The sequence below is a fragment of the Homo sapiens genome, chromosome 15 (genome assembly GCF_000001405.40).
Source record: "Homo sapiens chromosome 15, GRCh38.p14 Primary Assembly".
Classification (NCBI taxonomy): Eukaryota; Metazoa; Chordata; class Mammalia; order Primates; family Hominidae; genus Homo; species Homo sapiens.
In genome coordinates, this window is record NC_000015.10 from 94,320,067 (window position 1) to 94,338,761 (window position 18,695).

General features: G+C 40.3%; 1 protein-coding gene across 26 annotated transcripts in view; it reads left to right on the forward strand.

Annotated features, from left to right (window-relative positions):
- MCTP2 (multiple C2 and transmembrane domain containing 2) overlaps positions 1-18,695 on the forward strand; it is a 252,587-nt gene that overhangs the window by 88,701 nt on the left and 145,191 nt on the right. The window lies entirely within an intron of this gene.

An 18,695-nucleotide genomic window follows, 5' to 3' on the forward strand; every position in this document is an offset into this window, starting at 1 on the left:
CTTAATTGGGGAAATGACTGATCTGCTCTATTACAATCTTAGTGCTGTATTAGGAGGGAGAATAGTTTATTAATCTTTTTTTTTTTTTTTTTTTGAGATGGAGTCTCGCTCTGTCGCCCAGGCTGGAGTGCGGTGGCACAGACTCGGCTCACTGCAAGCTCCACCTCCTGGGTTCACGCCATTCTCCTGTCTCAGCCTCCCAAGTAGTTGGGACTACAGGCACCCGCCACCACGCCCAGCTAATTTTTGTATTTTTAGTAGAGACAGGGTTTCACCGTGTTAGCCAGGATGGTCTCGATCTCCTGACCTTGTGATCCACCCGCCTCGGCCTCCCAAAGTGCTGGGATTACAGCTGTGAGCCACTGCGCCTGGCCCTAGTTTATTAATCTTTGTATGCCCTCCTGTGCTATAACTGATGGTTTATACACAGAATATTTTTAATAAATTTTAGTTCTTCGTTGAAGAAATCCAACTTCAGTGCTGGACTTAAGGAGCATTGAGGCCTGTTATACAAGGGAAAGTACCTTTTCAGAATGAACAGTATTTAGTCACTTACTCCCTTATTCAACAAGCATGTCTTGGGTTTCCTCAGTGAAATGGGCACTACACTGGTGTTCTTCTGGGGCTTGGTGATGAAAGTCAGCAAAAAGGATTTATATGATTTCAGAGATGAAGATGACTTTCATATAGGTCACCTGGTCCAGCTGCTGATTTAATGGAAGCTTTAATTCAGGAAATGGAAGCACAAAAATTGAATGACTTATTGAGGGTCACGTTGGGAGGCAAGATTCAGAGCAGACTGGGTGGCTCAGTGGGACAAGAAGAGGATTTGGATTTGGTCTACTACTTGGCTTTGTGACCTCCTTGTACAACTTACATAACCTCTCTAAAATGGGTGTGATGTACCTTGCCTCATAATGTGATTGTAAGGACTGAAAAAAGTAAAACAATATGGATGAGGCTGGGGGACAAAATGTTAAGTAAAATAAGTCAGGCACAAAAAGACAAATATCCCATATTCTGACTCACGTGTGAGCTAGAAAGTTGATCCGTGGAGACAGAGAGGAGAATGCTTACTACCAGAGGCTGGGAAGGGTGGGAATGGGGAAAATGAAGAAGGGTTGGTTAAGGGGTACAAAAATACAGTAGAAAGAATAAGTTACAGTGTTCAATGGCTCAGTAGGGTGACTATACTTAATAATAATTTATTGTATATTTCAAAATAGAAGAGAAGATTTGGAATATTCCCAACACAAATGATGTGTTTGAGGTGATGCATATTTCAATTAGGCTGATTTGATCATTACACATTGTATGCATGTATCAAAATATTACGTGTACCCCATAAATATGTACTATTATTATTAATAAAGATGTATAGATGCCATAGTGGCCTACATTTAGAAAATAGGCAATAGATATGTTGTTATAGTAATTAATGAATAATCATAATGCAAGTTGGCCATGTTCTTGACTCCCAGTACAGAACTCATTGCTGTGTTCCATGTCAGCTCCCCCGTCATTGAATTAGATGCTTGGTCCCTAACTTGTGTCAGTTTGCCAATTTCTCTGTGCTCTCTCTATGATCTGTCTTTAGCATAGGGTTTTTAAAATACAGCTAATCAATAAACAATGCAGGAGGTTAGGGGTGCCAACCCCTCATGCAGTCAGAAACCCACATATAACTTTTGAATTCCCCAAAACACAACTACTAGTGGCCTACTGTTGACCAGAAGCCTTACTGATAACATAAACAGCCCGTTGGCATATATTTTGTATATGTATTATATACTGTATTCTTATAATAAGGTAAGCTAGAGAAGAAGTGTTAAGAAAATCATAAAAGAGAGAAAGTAGATTTATTATTCGTTAGGTGAAAGTGGATCATCATAAAAGCCTGCACCCTCATTGTCTTCACATCCAATTGGCTGAGGAGGAGGTGAAAGACCAGGGTTTGGTCTTGCTGTCTCAGGAGATGCAGAGGAGGACAAAAATTCTGTATAAGTGAACCCTTGCAGTTGTTCAAATGCATGTTTTCAAGAGTCACCTGTATTTTATTTTCCTATGTGGAATCATGTATTTAATTTTAAGTAAAAAACACGGATCTAATTAATCACATATTTTTTATTATGACAGAGGCTCCTTCAGAGTTATTCAAATGTGTTGCAACCTTGACCATGGAGGAGCAGCAGCTTTAGGGCCTTTAATTCCAATTGCACAGCCCCTGTTTTTGAATTTTTTTTTTTTTAGGGAGAAAAGCTATTTTGATGAATCACTCTCTGCTAAGGAAGGAGTTCTGCATTTTCTTCGGATTGTTACATAATCATTACTGTCTGTTACTTTCTGTCTAGAACATGGATTAGTAGACTTTTTATGGCTTTATGGGCTATAAGTGAAAATTAACTCTTGACATAGTGAGAAAGCAGCCATAGACAATAAACAAATGAACATAGCTGTTTTCCAATATAAATTTATTTACAAAAACAGGCAGTGGTCTGGATTTAACTGATGGGCCAAAGTTTGTTGACCTCTGCCTAGAATATCATGGTCTGATTTTTGGATTCTTGCTTTGAAAAACTGCTTTAAAAACATCTACAACAAAGATGGTATAATCTCATTAGGCAGTCATCAAGAGTTGAGGCTAATGCTTTCAGCGGAAGCATCTTGGAAATACGACATGAAATCATGCAGAAAAATCCGGAGATGTTGGGTAATAAAAAGTCATTTTCTTGCTATTTAACTCAGCAGTGGAGTGGAAGAATATGGTGTCTCCCTTAGGAAAAGACAGCTCACAAACCCCAAGAAAGGATGTTAGAAAGTGCTTAGAGGGTATGTGATTGAGCATAGGAAGTTTTTGGTGACTTTGCCCACGAGGAAACACATGCAGAAAAGGTCTCAGATACCAGAGTTCCCTGTCTCTGCTGTGATGCCGTCAGCGAGAGGCTGGGAAATAGGCTTCACTGGCATAAAGAGCTGTGAGGTTTTATCTAAATCACTCCCTTCCCTGGTTCAAACACAGAGCTGGTATGTTAAGCAGGTTATCAAGGTGGGATTTGGAGATTTTTCTGGGAGTTTTGGTGAAGATTGCTGAACTACACCATTGTTAATTGTTCTTTAGAAAGACTCACAAGGAAGTCTGGCTTCAGAACAATGGGCAGGTTTAGCAATGGTGTTGGGAAAGGGGTAATGTTGTATAGTTGCCACCAGGACACCTCAGGGTCTTTAGCTGTGGCCTCTCAGTGTGTGTATGTGTGCAGACTTAAAAAAACAAAAACCTATGGGTAATGAAAAATGAAGTTGGTGGGAGACTAAGAACTCCCTGTCTTAAGCATGCTTAATACCCATGAATAATCATGGGCACAGAAGACTATCATGGGAGGCTGAGAAGTTTGGATCAGGTAGCTCTGGAAGTGTGGCCACATTTAGAAGATTGTTCCTTGCAGGTGGTTTTCCAGTTCTTCAAGAATTTCCTTTGAATCTTTGGCATGTGGGCCTTCAGCCTTGACAATAGGAGGTCTGGTATTGGGGAGCTCAGGAGTAAACTAAGCAGCCCTGTTATTATTACTGTTATTATTTATTGTTGGATGACTTTGGCTGCTGTAGTGGTCTTTCTAAGAACGAGTCTTACTCTGATGCTGTCAATGGTCCAGGCATGGCATTGAGCTCACCTTCGTTAGCAATCCGCATAGGAAGAATGGCCGCCATCTTCCTGCATGTCTGCTGTCTCAGCCATTGCCTGTGTGTTGTGTTCATCTGACCCTCCCTGTCCCCTCTTCTATTTCTCTCATCTTTCTTTGCTCTTTCTACTCTCCTTTTCTTCATCCTAACGTTTTCCTTTTATTTCCTTATATTCCCCATTTCCTTTCCATTATTTTCCGGGATGTTATACAAGATGTATTGTTTTCGACCAAATAGGACTTACACTTGTTTTAAGTTCTCGATCTGAGTAGCTCTTGGCTGTCTTAAACTTTGAGACTGGTAAAGCAGAAGAAATATGTGAGCAATCGCCTTTAATTCCAACTGCTTCATGATTTGGTTGATGCATGGAGGAAACTGAACCCTGGGTCCATTTCCCATGGGAAGGAATGTGGCCGAGGAGGAGGTGTTCTGGCGTCTTAGAGCTGGTCTTATGCTCCAGGCCTGGCTTGAACTTCAGCCTTGCGATATGGGCAGGTCTCTCGTCCTGTGCAAAATGCTCAGCTCATACCCTGTTGGCTCGTAGAGCGCTAATACGTGGAAAACAATAGCCCTCGCTTTAAAACCCTGTGCTTTGCTGTAATGTTAGGCCGCTGTAGTAGTTTACCACTGTGGGCTGAGGGAATACTGTGTTGCTGGTGCCCTCTTGTGGCCACTCTGTAGCGTTGCAAAAGGAAAAGAAAAGTTAATGGAAGTTCGCTGTCACATTACTAGGGCCGTGAAAATCACTTCAGCTGTAGGTTGAGGTTTGATGGTCTTTTTTGATGCGAGTTTTAGTGGATGAAAATAAATGAACACTCATTCAGAAAACTGCTCTCTTTCTCAATTTCCAGCACAGGTAGATATCTGACGTTCGTTTCTAGAGCAATGGCAGCTTTATATGCAGATAATGGAAAAAAATGTGCTACATAAGTCAAGTTCATATTTAAAAGGAGTAGTTCAGAGAAAAAATTTAAAGATCTCTCGATACTGTGAGAATTATGCTATGTAATCGCTGTTACATAGCATAATTTTTACTATTATTAAATAATTGTTATCTTATTGTTTATTATATTATTATTCAATTATTGTTGTTTAATAAATTACTAAATTGTTACCAAAAAGTTAAAATGACTGATTTAAGTCCTGGTTTTCTTTTGCTATTTAGCAGGCTAATTTTTATGATGTTGCTAGAACTCTGTATTGTATACTGAGCAGCGGTGTAGCTTCCCAACAGGTGTGTTCTGAATGGGATGTACTGAAGTATTCATTCTGGCAGCCCTCTGGGCACCTCTGTTAGGCTTGGGCCACCATAAACCCTGCTGTGCCCTACAGACATCATTTTGTTTTGTGTCATGATGTGACGTGCTGAAGAGTGCTGGATGGTGGGTGAGGGTTATGCGTGGGCTTTGGACATGGACCACCGGAGTTTGGATTCTAGCTCAGACACGGTCTAGCCATGAGCCTGCTAGGCTTGCGGTAGGATTAACCTGGTGTGTGTGCTTGTGGAGACTTGGTGGTGGTCGTGGGGCGGGGCCGTGAGGTGGGTGGAGCTGAAACAGTCATATGCAATAAACATTAGCTGTTACTATTGCCGTGTGAATTGTCATAGTTATTCTTGGTATAGTTATTCTAGTTTGGGTTTTGTTTTTGCATTTCGCCTGTGGGAACAGGAATGACTTTGTGATTTCCCCATCCTTTTTATCGTGGGCTTATCTTCCCAGTTTCCTCATCAATTTTTGTACTTTTTGTGTATCTTTTTGCTCTTTTACTTCTTTTGAGATAAAAGTTCCTCCCCCTGCCGCCACCACCACCTCTAACCTGGGTGGTGTGAGGGTTGTGAAAGGTGTTTTCTTGAGGTCAGGTCTTATTTTCTGTGAAACAGGAGAAATGAGAGACTCTTTTAAAAGGCACCTTATTTGAATAAAGACTCTGTCGTGGATTGAGGTTTAATTTTCCCCATCATAAATTTGACCTAGAAAATGCCCCTTCATGAGTAAAACTGGTGTTGACGAAGGCACACCACTAGGCCTTACCGAAATTCTGAACCTACTCTACTCCATCGCTCCGATTTTTTTTTTTTTTTTTTTTTTTTTTGAGACGGAGTCTTGGTCTGTTGCCAGGCTGGAGTACAGTGGCGCGATCTCGGCTCACTGCAACCTCTGCCTCTCTGGTTCAAGTGATTCTCCTGCATCAGCCTCCCGAGTAGCTGGGATTACAGGCATGCGCCACCATGCCCAGCTAATTTTTGTATTTTTAGTAGTGATGGGGGTTTCACCATGTTGGCCAGGATGGTCTCGATCTCCTGACCTTGTGATCTGCCTGCCTCAGCCTCCCAAAGTGCTGGGATTACAGGCATGAGCCACCGTGGCTGGCCCGCCCCGATTTTTAAAATCTATTTTTCTTTCTAAAATGAAAGAGAATCTGGCTTTTAAATGTTTGGTTACCTGGTGTTTTCTCTCTACACATTTTTCTCTGTATTATAAAAACTTTATTTTGGAGAAGAAATTAAAAGCTTAGGGCACCATACTTTGTTCAGTCAACATTCTGAATTAAGTTTGTTCAAAATTTGTAACATTAGGAATAATGCCACAACAAACGTTCTTATACCTAAATCTGTGTGTACAGGTTACTTTTTCATATATTTGCAAGTGAGTTATTTATTCAGGTGGATTGCATTTTTTGTGTTATATGATCTGAGCATTTCAAGATTCTCATTAAAAAATTGCCAATTTACTCTTGAGAAAGACCTATTTGTTGACCTACTGGTGTGTGAAAGTGGGCCACTTTTTGTTTCTCACCTACCTTGTTATGTGGAATATTATTGTTACTTTTTTTTTTTTTGAGACTGAGTCTCGCTCTGTCACCCAGGCTGGAGTGCAGTGGCATGATCTCAGCTTCCTACAACTTCTGCCTCCTGGGTTCAAGCAATTCTCCTGCCTCAGCCTCCTGAGTAGCTGGGATTACAGGCATGGGCCACCACGCCTGGCTAATTTTTGTGTTTTTAGTAGAGATGGCGTTTCACCCTGTTGGCCAGGCTGGTCTCGAACTCTTGACCTCAGGTGATCCCCGCCCCACCCCCCCCCAACCTCGGCCTCCCAAAGTGCTGGGATTACAGGCATTAGCCACCGTGCCTAGCCATATCTTTGTTAATTTGATAGAAGGAAAGTGTTGTCTTGTTTTTTTCTTTAAATTGTTTTCATCAATTTGGACCTTTAAATATGTTTGGTTAATGAGATATTTGCTTCTCTGCATAGTCTGTTCCATGCATCACTTGTTCATTCTGTCTCCTGGGCATGTTCACATGCATTTTTTAAATTTGTCACTTGCCTTTAGATTGTGTTTATAAAGTTTTTGTTGCAAAAATATTTTTAATCTTACGATTCTTTTCTGGAAAGTGTCATTTTTTATCTAGAAAGCTTCTTGAGAGACACACACATTCACCTACATTTCTTCTCTTTTCTATCTAGTTTTACATTTTTTCATTTATTTCTTTGATCTCTGTCAAGTTTACTTAGTTTCTGGCCCAGAGTAGGAACTGAGTTTTACTTGAACCAAATGGCTATCTATCTAACTAGGACTAAATATTTCTTTTCGTAATGATGTGACGGTCACTTTTTAAGTATACATTAAATTGCAGCACATATTGGAGCCTGCTTCAACAATTTCTCTTTGATTCCTATTGATGTTGTTCTCTTGTTCGGCATCAGCTCCACACCAGAGTTTTATTGTATTGAAAATTCAGTCCTTTTTATTTTGCAACATTTGGGATTTGCTTCTCATTGGAGTACCTTCTCTGAACACCAGATGGCATGAGATCATTGGCCACATCTGGGCCAGTGTATCAGAAAAATTGTTGTTCAAGAGCAAATGTGAACCTTTCAAAGATGCAGACACCCATTCTGTAACACAGGAGTGGTTTTCCTTCACTCTTTGAGTTTTGGTAGCTTGTGGATGTCCTGCAGTAAGTGATTAGAGCTGAGTTTTAAAATGGTTTCTGTTTATTCCTTTGCCACTTGGTACATATCATCACCGGACATGTTTGTCCCAACAGTCTTTAATGTATTCCCACAACTGAACCATTTCCTCTGAAGATTTTTGTTGTATGGTTTTGTTTTGGGACTCTGTGCAGTCTTGTGGATTGATCAGAATGTCTTGATGCTTTGCTGCTTTATAGAGTCAGTTTATCTGTTTCTGTGGAACCCCATCTCAATTCCTATGAAATACCTTGGAGCAAAATTGGGATGTTTTCTATTCCTGCTGCGTGTAAGAAAATTGCCTTACACCCAACCAAACATCATTGGCTTGAATTAAATGTAGCATGTCTTCTATTTGCTTGATTGGGGCTTCTCTTGAGGGGGTGGTTTTTATCAAGTGTTTATTTCTTTTCTTTTTTTTTTTTTTGAGATGGGAGTTTTGCTCTGTCACCCAGGCTGGAGTGCAGTGGCGTGATCTCGGCTCACTGCAGGCTCTGCCTCCCGGGTTCATACCATTCTCCTGCCTCAGCCTCATGAGTAGCTGGGACTACAGGTGCCCGCCACCACGCCCGGCTAATTTTTTGTATTTTTAGTAGAGACGGGGTTTCACTGTGTTAGCCAGGATGGTCTTGATCTCCTGACCTCGTGATCCACCCGCCTTGGCCTCCCAAAGTGCTGGGATTCCAGGTGTGAGCCACCGCGCCCGGCCTATCAAGTGTTTATTTCTATACCACGATGATACTTGCTGTGTTTCAAGTCACTCTTTTAATGTATTTGTTTCATTGTCTGTAAAGTTGGTAAGAGATATTCTGCCTGTGCGCACGTTGATGTGTGTTGTGTATTCCCACATGTCCGTGATTTACTCATGTCTGAGTTTTGATTTCAGTGACAGTTAGTCCTATCACACCATCATTCCTTGCTGAGTTTGAGGCAGGGAGTGTGGCCTGTCATGGTGAAGGGTGTTATTCTTGAGACTCTCTCTATGTAACAAATTGCCTTGAATCTCAGTAGCAACCATGTGTTCGTGAATTCTGGGAGTGTAAGTTTGGACAAAGCCCAATGGAGTTGGCCTGTTTTTGCTGCATGCTGTCTGGGGCTTCACCTGGGAAGAGTTGAAGGTTGGGAGGACTTGGCTATTGGGGTCCTATCTTTGGAAGACTTGAAGGTTTGTTGATTCCCATATTGTGTGTGTGGAATCAGGTGTCTGGAAGATGAAGATGGTTCCACATGAGGCCTCCCCATGCAGCATGTCTTCCTCATGACATGGCAGCATCAGAGTCACTAAGCTTTTTATGTGGAAGCTCAGGGCTCCAGGCACAAGGGTCCCAGCACAAGGCAGAAGCTGCGTCATCTTTTATGATGCAGCCTTGGAAGGAACACTGCACCACAGTGGTTGAAGCAGTCACCCAATTCAAGAGGAATGGGGACAGATACCCTACTTTTTTATTAAGTACCACAGAATTTGGGGGCTATTTTGTAAAATTACTGTAGTTCTGAAGCCTTTAGAGTGAAAACAATCTGGGTTCAAGGCTCAGCTCTGAACTTTCTAACTTTCCTCATCCTTTAAAAAAAATTTTTTATTACATGTATTTAAGGCACAACATGATGTTTTGATATACATAGTGTATTAGTAGTCCGTTCTTGCATTGCTATAAATACCTGAGACTGGATAATTTATAAAGATAAAGAGCCGTCATTGACGCATGGTTCCACAGGCTGTACAGGAAGCATGATGCTGGCTTCTGAGGAGCTTAGAATCATGGCTTCCAGGGAGCAAGCATGTCACATGGTCAGAGCAGGAGCAAGAGAGAGAGAGCAGGGAGGTGCCACACACTTTTAAACAATCGGATCTCTTGAGAATTCGCTCACTGTCATGAAGACAGTACCAACAGGGATGATGCAGAGCCATTCATGAGAAATCCACCACCATGACCGGATGACCTCCCACCGGGCCCCACCTCCAACATTAGGGATTACACCTCAATATGAGGTGTGGATGGGGACACACATCCAAACCATATCACATAGTGAAATGCTTCCTACAGTGAAGCCAATTAACATATCCATCATCACATAGTTACTTATTTGTGTGTGGTAAGAGCACTTAAAATCTATTCTCTTAATACATTTTTAATATACAATACCCTTCCATTAACTAGAGTCCTCATCGTATGGTAGGTCTCCAGACTCACTCATCTTACATAACTGCACCTCAGTGCCATTGACCTACTTCACCCTATTTCTTTGCTCCCCTTCACTTGGAAAAAAGTCTTCTACTTTTTGTTTGTGTGTATTTGATTTCTTTTTAGATGCCACATATGAAAGACCACATGGCATGTTTTTTCTATGCCTGGCTTATTTCACTTAGCATAATGTCCTCCAGGTTTATTCATGTCATTGCAAATGGCAGGATCTCCTTTTATAAGGCTGAAAAGTATTCCTCATCCTTAAAGAAGCAGTGTAAAGCATGTCTATCTCCTTTTGTAGGATTAAAGGAGATCATTCCCATGTTAATGTTATTCTTGAATTTTGGTCCTGTTCTATTTTTTTCTATAAAGGCTGGTGTCTATTTTCTTAGACTTAGATTTGTGCTTAAATAGTGGCTTGGGTGGGGGATTATTTTTAGTAATTTTTAATAAGGAGAATGCGAGAGTATCAATAATCATGTATGCTTTGGTAATAATGGGTTTCTGGAACACAGATTACTAATATGCATATAGGTCTTGTAGATTTCACCCTTTATACAGATTCTAAGCAACTGTATTCATTGATTCTCTGGCTTACTCCTTTCTTATTTTTTTTTCTCCTCTAAACCTTTCTAGTCTCTTTTTATTGTAGTATTCTAGCTGCTGCCTCTCCTCTCCCTTTTTTCTATGTTGTCATTGCCTTCTTCTAACTTTACATGGGGCCCTCGTTTTTTGGTGTTACAGGGACAACCATGTATGAGGTTTCTAAGCCGAAGTTCACACCCTTATTGGGGTGACCAAGAATAGAGATGCAGGCATATGGGAGTGTTTGTTTGTTTGTTTGTTTTGAAACAGGGTCTCACTCTGTTGCCCAGGCTGGAGTGCAGTGGTACAATCTTGGCTCACTGCAACCTCTGCCTCCCAGGCTCAAGCAGTCCCCCGACTTTAGCCCCCCAAGTAGCTGGGACAAAAGCTGCGCACCACCATGACTGGCTAATTTCTGTATTTTTTGTAGAGGTTGGATTTTGCCATGTTGCCCAGGCTTGTCTTGAATTCTGAGCTCAAGCAATCCACCTGCCTCGGCCTCCCAAAGTGCTGGGATTACAGGCATGAGTCACCATGCCCAGCCCAGGCATATGTTTTTAATGACCACTTTGCCAAAAGCCAATTAGTTCAATCATCTATTCAACCAAATGACCAATTCACTGAAATTACTGAATTCATCATGTTAATATATTGACAGTGTTTTTCTTCTTCTATTTATAAAGTTATAGCTATTGATATTCATAAAAATATTGGATGGGGACTTTTAAAAATAGCTTTTGAAGGTCTCTGGCTCATCTTAGTTGATGGGTTATAAAGACAAAGCCAAAAGAGCATTTTAAACAATATTTAATTTGTGTCAAGCCAAAACAATAAATGATGGAAGAGACTGAATATGTCATAATTTAAGCTGCAGATCTACAAAGGGGAAGTGTAAGGACAGAAAAAGACAAGATGTTAGGGGAAGAGGTTGGGGAGGGACTGAGAGTAGGAGAAGGCAGGGGAGGCATGTGGAGGTCTGGGATGGTATGGGGTGGGGCTGAGGAAGTTCAGGGGGGCTGTGGTGCAGGGAAGAATCCGAAGACCCAGGAAGACCTCCTTCCCCAGTTCCCTAGACCTGCCTTATGTCTCATTGTTTATCCTCTATGAGTTGCTATAAACTTTATAAATAGTTAAACAAGTTTTAGTAACATTGAAAATTTCAGGTCACTGATTTCGCTGTATATTGGTCATTGGAAATTCTTCCAGTAAATTGGACTTTGGTAAATTGCTTGGAGCTATTACATCTCAGGGTCTGTCCATGGGCAGACCTTGCCCGAGGAGCCAATGAAATGTTATACATGGCAGGTCCATTTAGAGGAAGGAAGTCAATTGTATTTGGGAGAGAAGTTCAGGAATAGTTCAATCAGAGTGTGCTAAATGGCAAAACATGGACAGGAAGGCCAGTAGAAGACTGGGGAAGAAACTGTTCTGTGGTTGGTATCAAAAACAGCTGTGAGAAGCATGCGGCCCTTATCTGCAAAAGAAAGATGGGCCATGATAAGCCTGGGAATGTGCATGTTCTGTTTATTTTGGTGGATAAAACCACTGGCTTGGAATTCTGCTGCTTTGAATCTACCACTATCTGAAGTAATATAGATTTTTCTCTGCATGGGAGAAGTTCCTTCTTTCTCAGATGGCCGAGGAAAAATGTCCTGTAAATTTCCATAATGTCCATTAGGGTTTCTGAAGAGGTCAATTAAAAGAGCCGCACTAGAGCTGAGTAGCTCAGCTCTACTGTAAGAGGCCAGCAGCACCTGTTCAAAACTTAGAAACAACGTTTTTATTTTTATTTTTTCTGGTGTCAAAGTCAGAACTTACAGAGTCCATCTAAAAGAAGCTCAGGGCTGATTCTTTTCCCAACAAAAAGAGAAGATCCTAAATATGTGTGTATATTCAGAAGACTATAAATGTATGTGTGTAAATAGAATAGTCACTTATTACTCTTACCCTATTAGATAAAAAATTTAAAATATATACGTTTTATATGTTTCCAAATACTAGTTTTGTCATTGGGGTTTTATATATGTAGCTCAGTGTCCCTAAAGAGCTAGTAAATAATTGTTGACTTGAATTTGAAATCTTAAGCTCTCCCAAAGAAAGTTATCAGATATTCGAAAATGTGAACTTAGTGTAAAAATATGGTGATAATTTCCTTTCAGGAGCAAACAACTACTTTGGGAAATACATTTGATTAGAAAATTTTTCAAGCTAAAGACAACATTTCTTTTGGATAAATTGCATGGCTAAATTTTATAACTTGGCAAACCTGCTTTGCTGATAGCAAATAAGTAAGCTTTTCCTACAAATAATGCTTTTGTATTCAACACAGTGGATTTTTAGTCCAAATTAGGAATGCTAGTTTTTAGAAAATGTTACATGGTAAGTTTATATATATATATGCACAGACATACACATAAAGTGAACATTAAACTGAATCATAGAAATATATTTATGGGCTGGGTGTGGTTTTATATTTAAATTACATGCCTGTAATCCCAGCACTTTGGGATGCTGAGGCAGGCAGATTGCGAGGTCAGGAATCCGAGACCAGCCCGGCCAACGTGGTGAAACCTCGGCTCTACTAAAAATACAAAAATTAGCCGGGCCTGGTGGCGGGCATCTGTAATCCCAGCTACTTGGGAGTCTGAGGCAGGAGAATTGCTTGAACCCAGAAGGTGGAGTAGGTTGCAGTGAGCCGATATCATGCCACTGTACTCCAGCCTGAGCCACAGAGCAAGTCTCCGTCTTGGAGCAAGGCGTATAAGAATTCTGATGTCTTATTAATTGAAGAAAGCAGGTAAATAATACTGTATAAAGACTGATCCCTTTTTGTGATAAGTGTACATTTAAGCATATAAATTTGAAGTACATATCAGCTTATTAAGCTTTTCTAGATGGGAATATTTTTTCTTTTTTAAAAACTTTTTTTTAAAAACCATTGCCATGAGTTATATCAAAAAAAAAGCAAAGAGAAGTTGTTTGTAATTAGAGCTGCATTACAGGTTCATTTTATTTGCATATTAACAATTGTTCTTGAGCTGTTCAATGTGATATTGACTGTTTCTATTCACCATTTGTATTGGTACCAGCCATGTTCTTCAATAGCACTCTCAAGGTGGTAAGAGTTCCTAAAAATGATAAGTAAAATGAAGGGGAGAACAAAATCTTCAAATTCTATAGTTCTTGGTGACTCTTTCCTGATGATAGACTTGAGTTGCCATGGGTCCTTACTGAGCTGCCTGTTATTTTTATTAATTGTATCTCCAAAGTGGTCTGAAATCCTCAATGAATACAACAGTAGGTAAGGAAGCAGCCAGTCCTTATGAGGACTTAGTGATTTTTAGTTTTTATACAGCTCTTTCTTTCTAGGACAGCTCAGATTATTTTATAGAAATGTTCCCAAATCACACAGAATCCCTGCGAGAAGTAAGTAAGATAAGGAATTTTCTATCAAACCTAAGAGACGATGATATAAATTTCACACCTTTAGAGGTGGCAATAGAAGAAATACTATAGAAACAAATTAGTGTACATTAACTTGGAAAATCAAAGTAAAATAAATGAATATTTAATTACTGCTGCATGCATTGTCATACACTCTTCCCCTTTATAACTTCAGTAGTGATACTAAACATAGCATTCGTGAGGCATTCTCAGCAAATGACCGAAGCCTGCTATCATTGAAGTATATTGGATCATTCAGTTCTCAAAATGATCCCTTGAAGTTGATAGTTTTCTATCTCACAAGTGAAGATATTACGGCATAAGGAAGCTGAGTAAATGGCCCAAAGTTATATAGTTAGTAAAAGGAACGTCTGAGACTTTAATTCACCATGTACATCTAACTTCAAAATTTATTCATTCATTCATCACATAAGTATAATCCATCTACCAGGCATATTAGGCACCTCTGGGCATTAATCTTACCTTCCAAAGGAGCTTTGATTTGGAGAAATTTAATAATATACTCATAGGTGGTCCAAATAATGTTTTCTATATTTAAATACATTTGTAAAATATGGAGTAGAAAACTTTAAGGTGTTTTTTGATTTTGTTTGTTTAGAGAGACAGGGTCTTGCCCTGTTAGCCAGGTTATAGTGCAGTGGCATAATCCTAGCTCATGGTAAACTCTAAATCTTGGGCTCTAGCAATTCTCCTGCTTCAGCTTTCTGAGTAGCTGGGACCACAGGCACATGCAACCACAACCAGCTAATTTTTTGAAACTTTTTTTTTTTCGGTGGAGATGGGGGGTCTCACTGCGTCACTCAGGCTGGTCTCAAACTCCTGGCCTCAAGTGATCCTCCTGCCTTGACCTCTCAAAGTGCTGAGATTACAGGCGTGAGCCACTGTATCCAGCCTGTTATTTGTCTGTACTGCATTTCTTAACATAGTTTAATATTTTACTCTATATTATGAAAGTTCTAAGCTGGGAAATAGTAAGCAGCTTTTCTAAATGGTTTAGATCACATACCCTTTCCCATCCGTGGAGTGCCCCTCCCATGAAGTTCTATGGAAGTACTTTTTAGGGGACTTTCCGAAACCTTGAGTAGGTCCTTCTTGTGGTCTGGTGCCAGCTTTCTCCTCAGTCCTCAACTGTCTGTTGCTATATTTTCTCAACTACCAGGTTTCCTAGCTTTACCCTCTTTCTTCTTTCTTCTAAATTATAAGCTGCTGTCAGATTTATATTTCTAAACCTTGGCTCTGAACACTTTACCCTGCTGCTCGTGAGTGAACCTGAATTTCCTTCCCTCTTCGTATTAAAGTAATTCCAGATGAGCCAAAGGCTTAAGTGGTGTAAAAAAAGAAAAGAATATAAAATCAGTGGAAGAAAACATAGCTGAATTAATTTAAAATTTTGTACGACATTGCTTCTAAACAGGATGTTAACCTACAAAGCCGTAAATACAACTTAGGTAAATTTGATGAAATAAAAATGAAAGTCACTTATTGTCAGAAATAACGTAAGTCTAAACAAATTCTGACAAGACTTATAGTCAATGGCTGATTGATTTCCATAATAAAGGGGCTCATTTAATTCCATAAGCAAAAGACAAAACCATGGGCCCTTCATATTCATTTCTCCAGCAGTTTCATTGTTAAAATTTTCCTCTGCATATAATCACTTATGGACTCCAAAGATAATTATAGAAGGATGCCTATTGTAGTATTGTTTGTACTAGTTAATAAAATTGGAAAAGATATTAATATCCATTATTTAGTAACTAGTTACATAAACTAACACAATGCAATGAAAATATATTCAGTTAGTTTTTTAAAAAACAGTTGATCTACATTGCTGGTATGAGCAGAGCTCCAAGGAATGTTAATTGTGAAAGCGTGAGTCCACTAAAAACAATTCTATTTTTTTTCCTGTAAAATGCCCAAGAAACTATTTATGGTGGGTATATTAGACAAATGAGAATCCGCGAAGAGTACTAGAGGAGAGATTTTACTTTTCATCCCTTTCAGAGTTGTGTGCATGTATTACTTTTCTTAAAAATTAAAAAAAGGAGAAGAGGAAAATCACCTGTCTTTATTACAGATTATAAACTAAACTCCTTATTTTGCTTTTATAGGCTACTTGGGCCTCCGACTCATCTGTTTTTTACAACTTTATTTCTCATTATATGTTCTTCCCTTAATCTCTGGATAGATTGAAATGCATGCTCGGCACCACACCGCTCTAGTCATTTTGAGTCTCCTTCCCTCCTTCGCTGTTGGAGCACATGCCTCCTACTGGAATGACCTTCTCTGCCTGTTCTGATCCACCCATGTTTCAACTCCCATCTTCTTTATTGCAGCCTCCACTGGCACTCCAGCTGGAACTAATCTTTCCCACCTATGAGCCATCTTCATTCCCAGGTTCACTTCTGTTGGGACACTTCCTTCTTGGACTTTGTGTTATATTTCTGGGTTGCCTGCTGCCCCTTAGGTGAAGAAGAGCAGGATCTGGGATGGATGCACCATGTAACCTCCTGGAGTGCTCAGCATGGAGCCACACTCGGAAATGGCCGGAAGCTGTTTGTGGCACATTAGCATGCCTGACAGATGCAACATCGAGGCAGACATGATGACCCGTAGTGTCAGTGGGCAGGAGTAGAAACAAGGGCTGTCACATGGTCGTTAGGAAGGGAAGTGGGTGCAACATTTTTAGAGGACTGATGACTGGCTGTTAGTTTTGCTTAGCATATATATATATATATATGTATGTATGTGCATATATATGTATGTGTATATTTATGTGCATATATGTGTGTGTATATATATACACATATATATGTATATATGTACTGCTGTGTGTTTGGAATGGAGCAGGACACTCAGGCCATGAATGCTTAACATGTTGATAGTCTACGTCTGAGGCTGAGGGACTCCTTCAGGTCCCCATGGCAGAATTGGTGACGGCCCCAGAATGGAGGCACCGTCTCTGGACTCCTGGCTTCATTCTCCTCGCCGAGTACCACACTACTACAAGAGCCTCATTGTTTCTGAAGCTCCCAGTGAACAAGGTTAAAGTCCACCCATTCAGGTGTCATCTCATCATTTGTATAATCTGGGAGTTGCATTCCTGAGTGGCCGACCCCTTTTCAGAAGCTGCCTAGTTGAGATGTCACTTCCCTGACAGTGAGGCACTTAGGCTCAGAGAGAAAATCACAATGTGCTCCCCCTTCTCTCAAATTTTCCCTAACAATTAACGCGGCACTAACTTGACACCCTCTTTCCTTGTTTGGCTTTGTAAACCCCGGTCCCTTTTTCTATTAATTCCAGACATTAATATTTTCTTTCACGCAACTGCCGCCATTCACCCGTGAAACAGTTTGAACATTATGTAGCTGTCAAGATGCCTGGGGATTACCCAGTATGCCTTGCCTGTGAGAAACTGACACCACTGAGGCCTAGTTTTGAGATGTTTATTTTGAGAGTACGCTGACAAGCATGAAGGCCTGATCCCAGAGTGGCAATTTCATTTAATTAAAGGCCTCTTTTTATTATAGTTTTCCCCCACTTTTTTATATATATATATCAGAATGATTGTTAAAGTCTGCCTCGCCAGAGGTGTTCTCTTCTGCTGTAGGAGGGAGGGGGTGGGCGACTGTACTCTCACTAGTGAGCATTTCACTGAATGGCTGTGAATGCATTCATTTTTACTGTTCTTCTCAGAACTGGCCCGAACACGGTGTGTGTGTGTGTGTGTGCGCGCGCATGCACGCGCGTGTGCATGCCCAAGTTTAAAATAAAGACTGATGGGCTTCTACTCCTATGTTCTCAAACTTAAAATGTGAGATTTGACTATGTATATGTATCTATTTGCAGCTTATTTAATTTTTGTTTAAAGTTAGTACGCTTGCAGTACTGGAAGGCTGACTTCTCAAAATCATGCCTTACTTAATCTAGTAAGGCTTTTAAACCATGGCTGCTATTTTAGTTCGTAGTGATGTTAATGTCATTTCAAATAGCTGGGAAATGTAGTGCATTCCATTTTCAGTAATTTTTAGTACTGGAGCTAAATAGAAATATTAAAAGGAGCTGAAAAAGTAAAAGATTGAAGTAATGCATGATGGATATTAATGATTTGATAAATGTTATGATACAGTAGCCTAATTAATTTTTGATATAATAGTCCTAGACTATATTGGCTTGACGTTGCTATCAGCAATTCATTTCAATAAATATTCTGGGGGCCTATCTTGGGTACTGTCCAAGGCACAGGGGAGATACCAGTGAACAGACCGGGCTGTTGGTCTTTGTATGCTTATTCACTGTGCCGTGTTTCAAAATTAACTATAGTATTGTAACTCCCCAAATTAGATTTTCTTTCTTTGTAGCGTTATCAGCTGGCCTTCGTTTATCTCCTCATTGATTGCTCATTCATTTGTGCCTCCTCCTTCCACCGTTCACTAGGTAGTAATGAACAAGTGTATTCCAAGCATTGTATCATGCGACGCACATGCATGTAACACACGCACAATACATAATTCATGTATTATGTTTGCAGGCATTTTTTTTTTTTTTTTTTTTACTTCCATTGATCTGAAAAATGTGGAGGAGGGTCTGCCATCAGCCCTTCTTTTTGCTTTGGGCGGAGTGACTGGAGGGACATTATTCATTTCTTTTGGCGTCTGTTTCAAAGCTCCCAGGGAGGAGCCGGGCGGGTCAGCGGTGTCAGCACTGAGGCCAGCTGAGGGCCTGGCTGATGTGGAGTTCAGCTGCCCTGGCTGAGACAATGTTGGCTGCTTTAGTGCAGGTGCGGGGACGCAGCAAAGAATGGCAA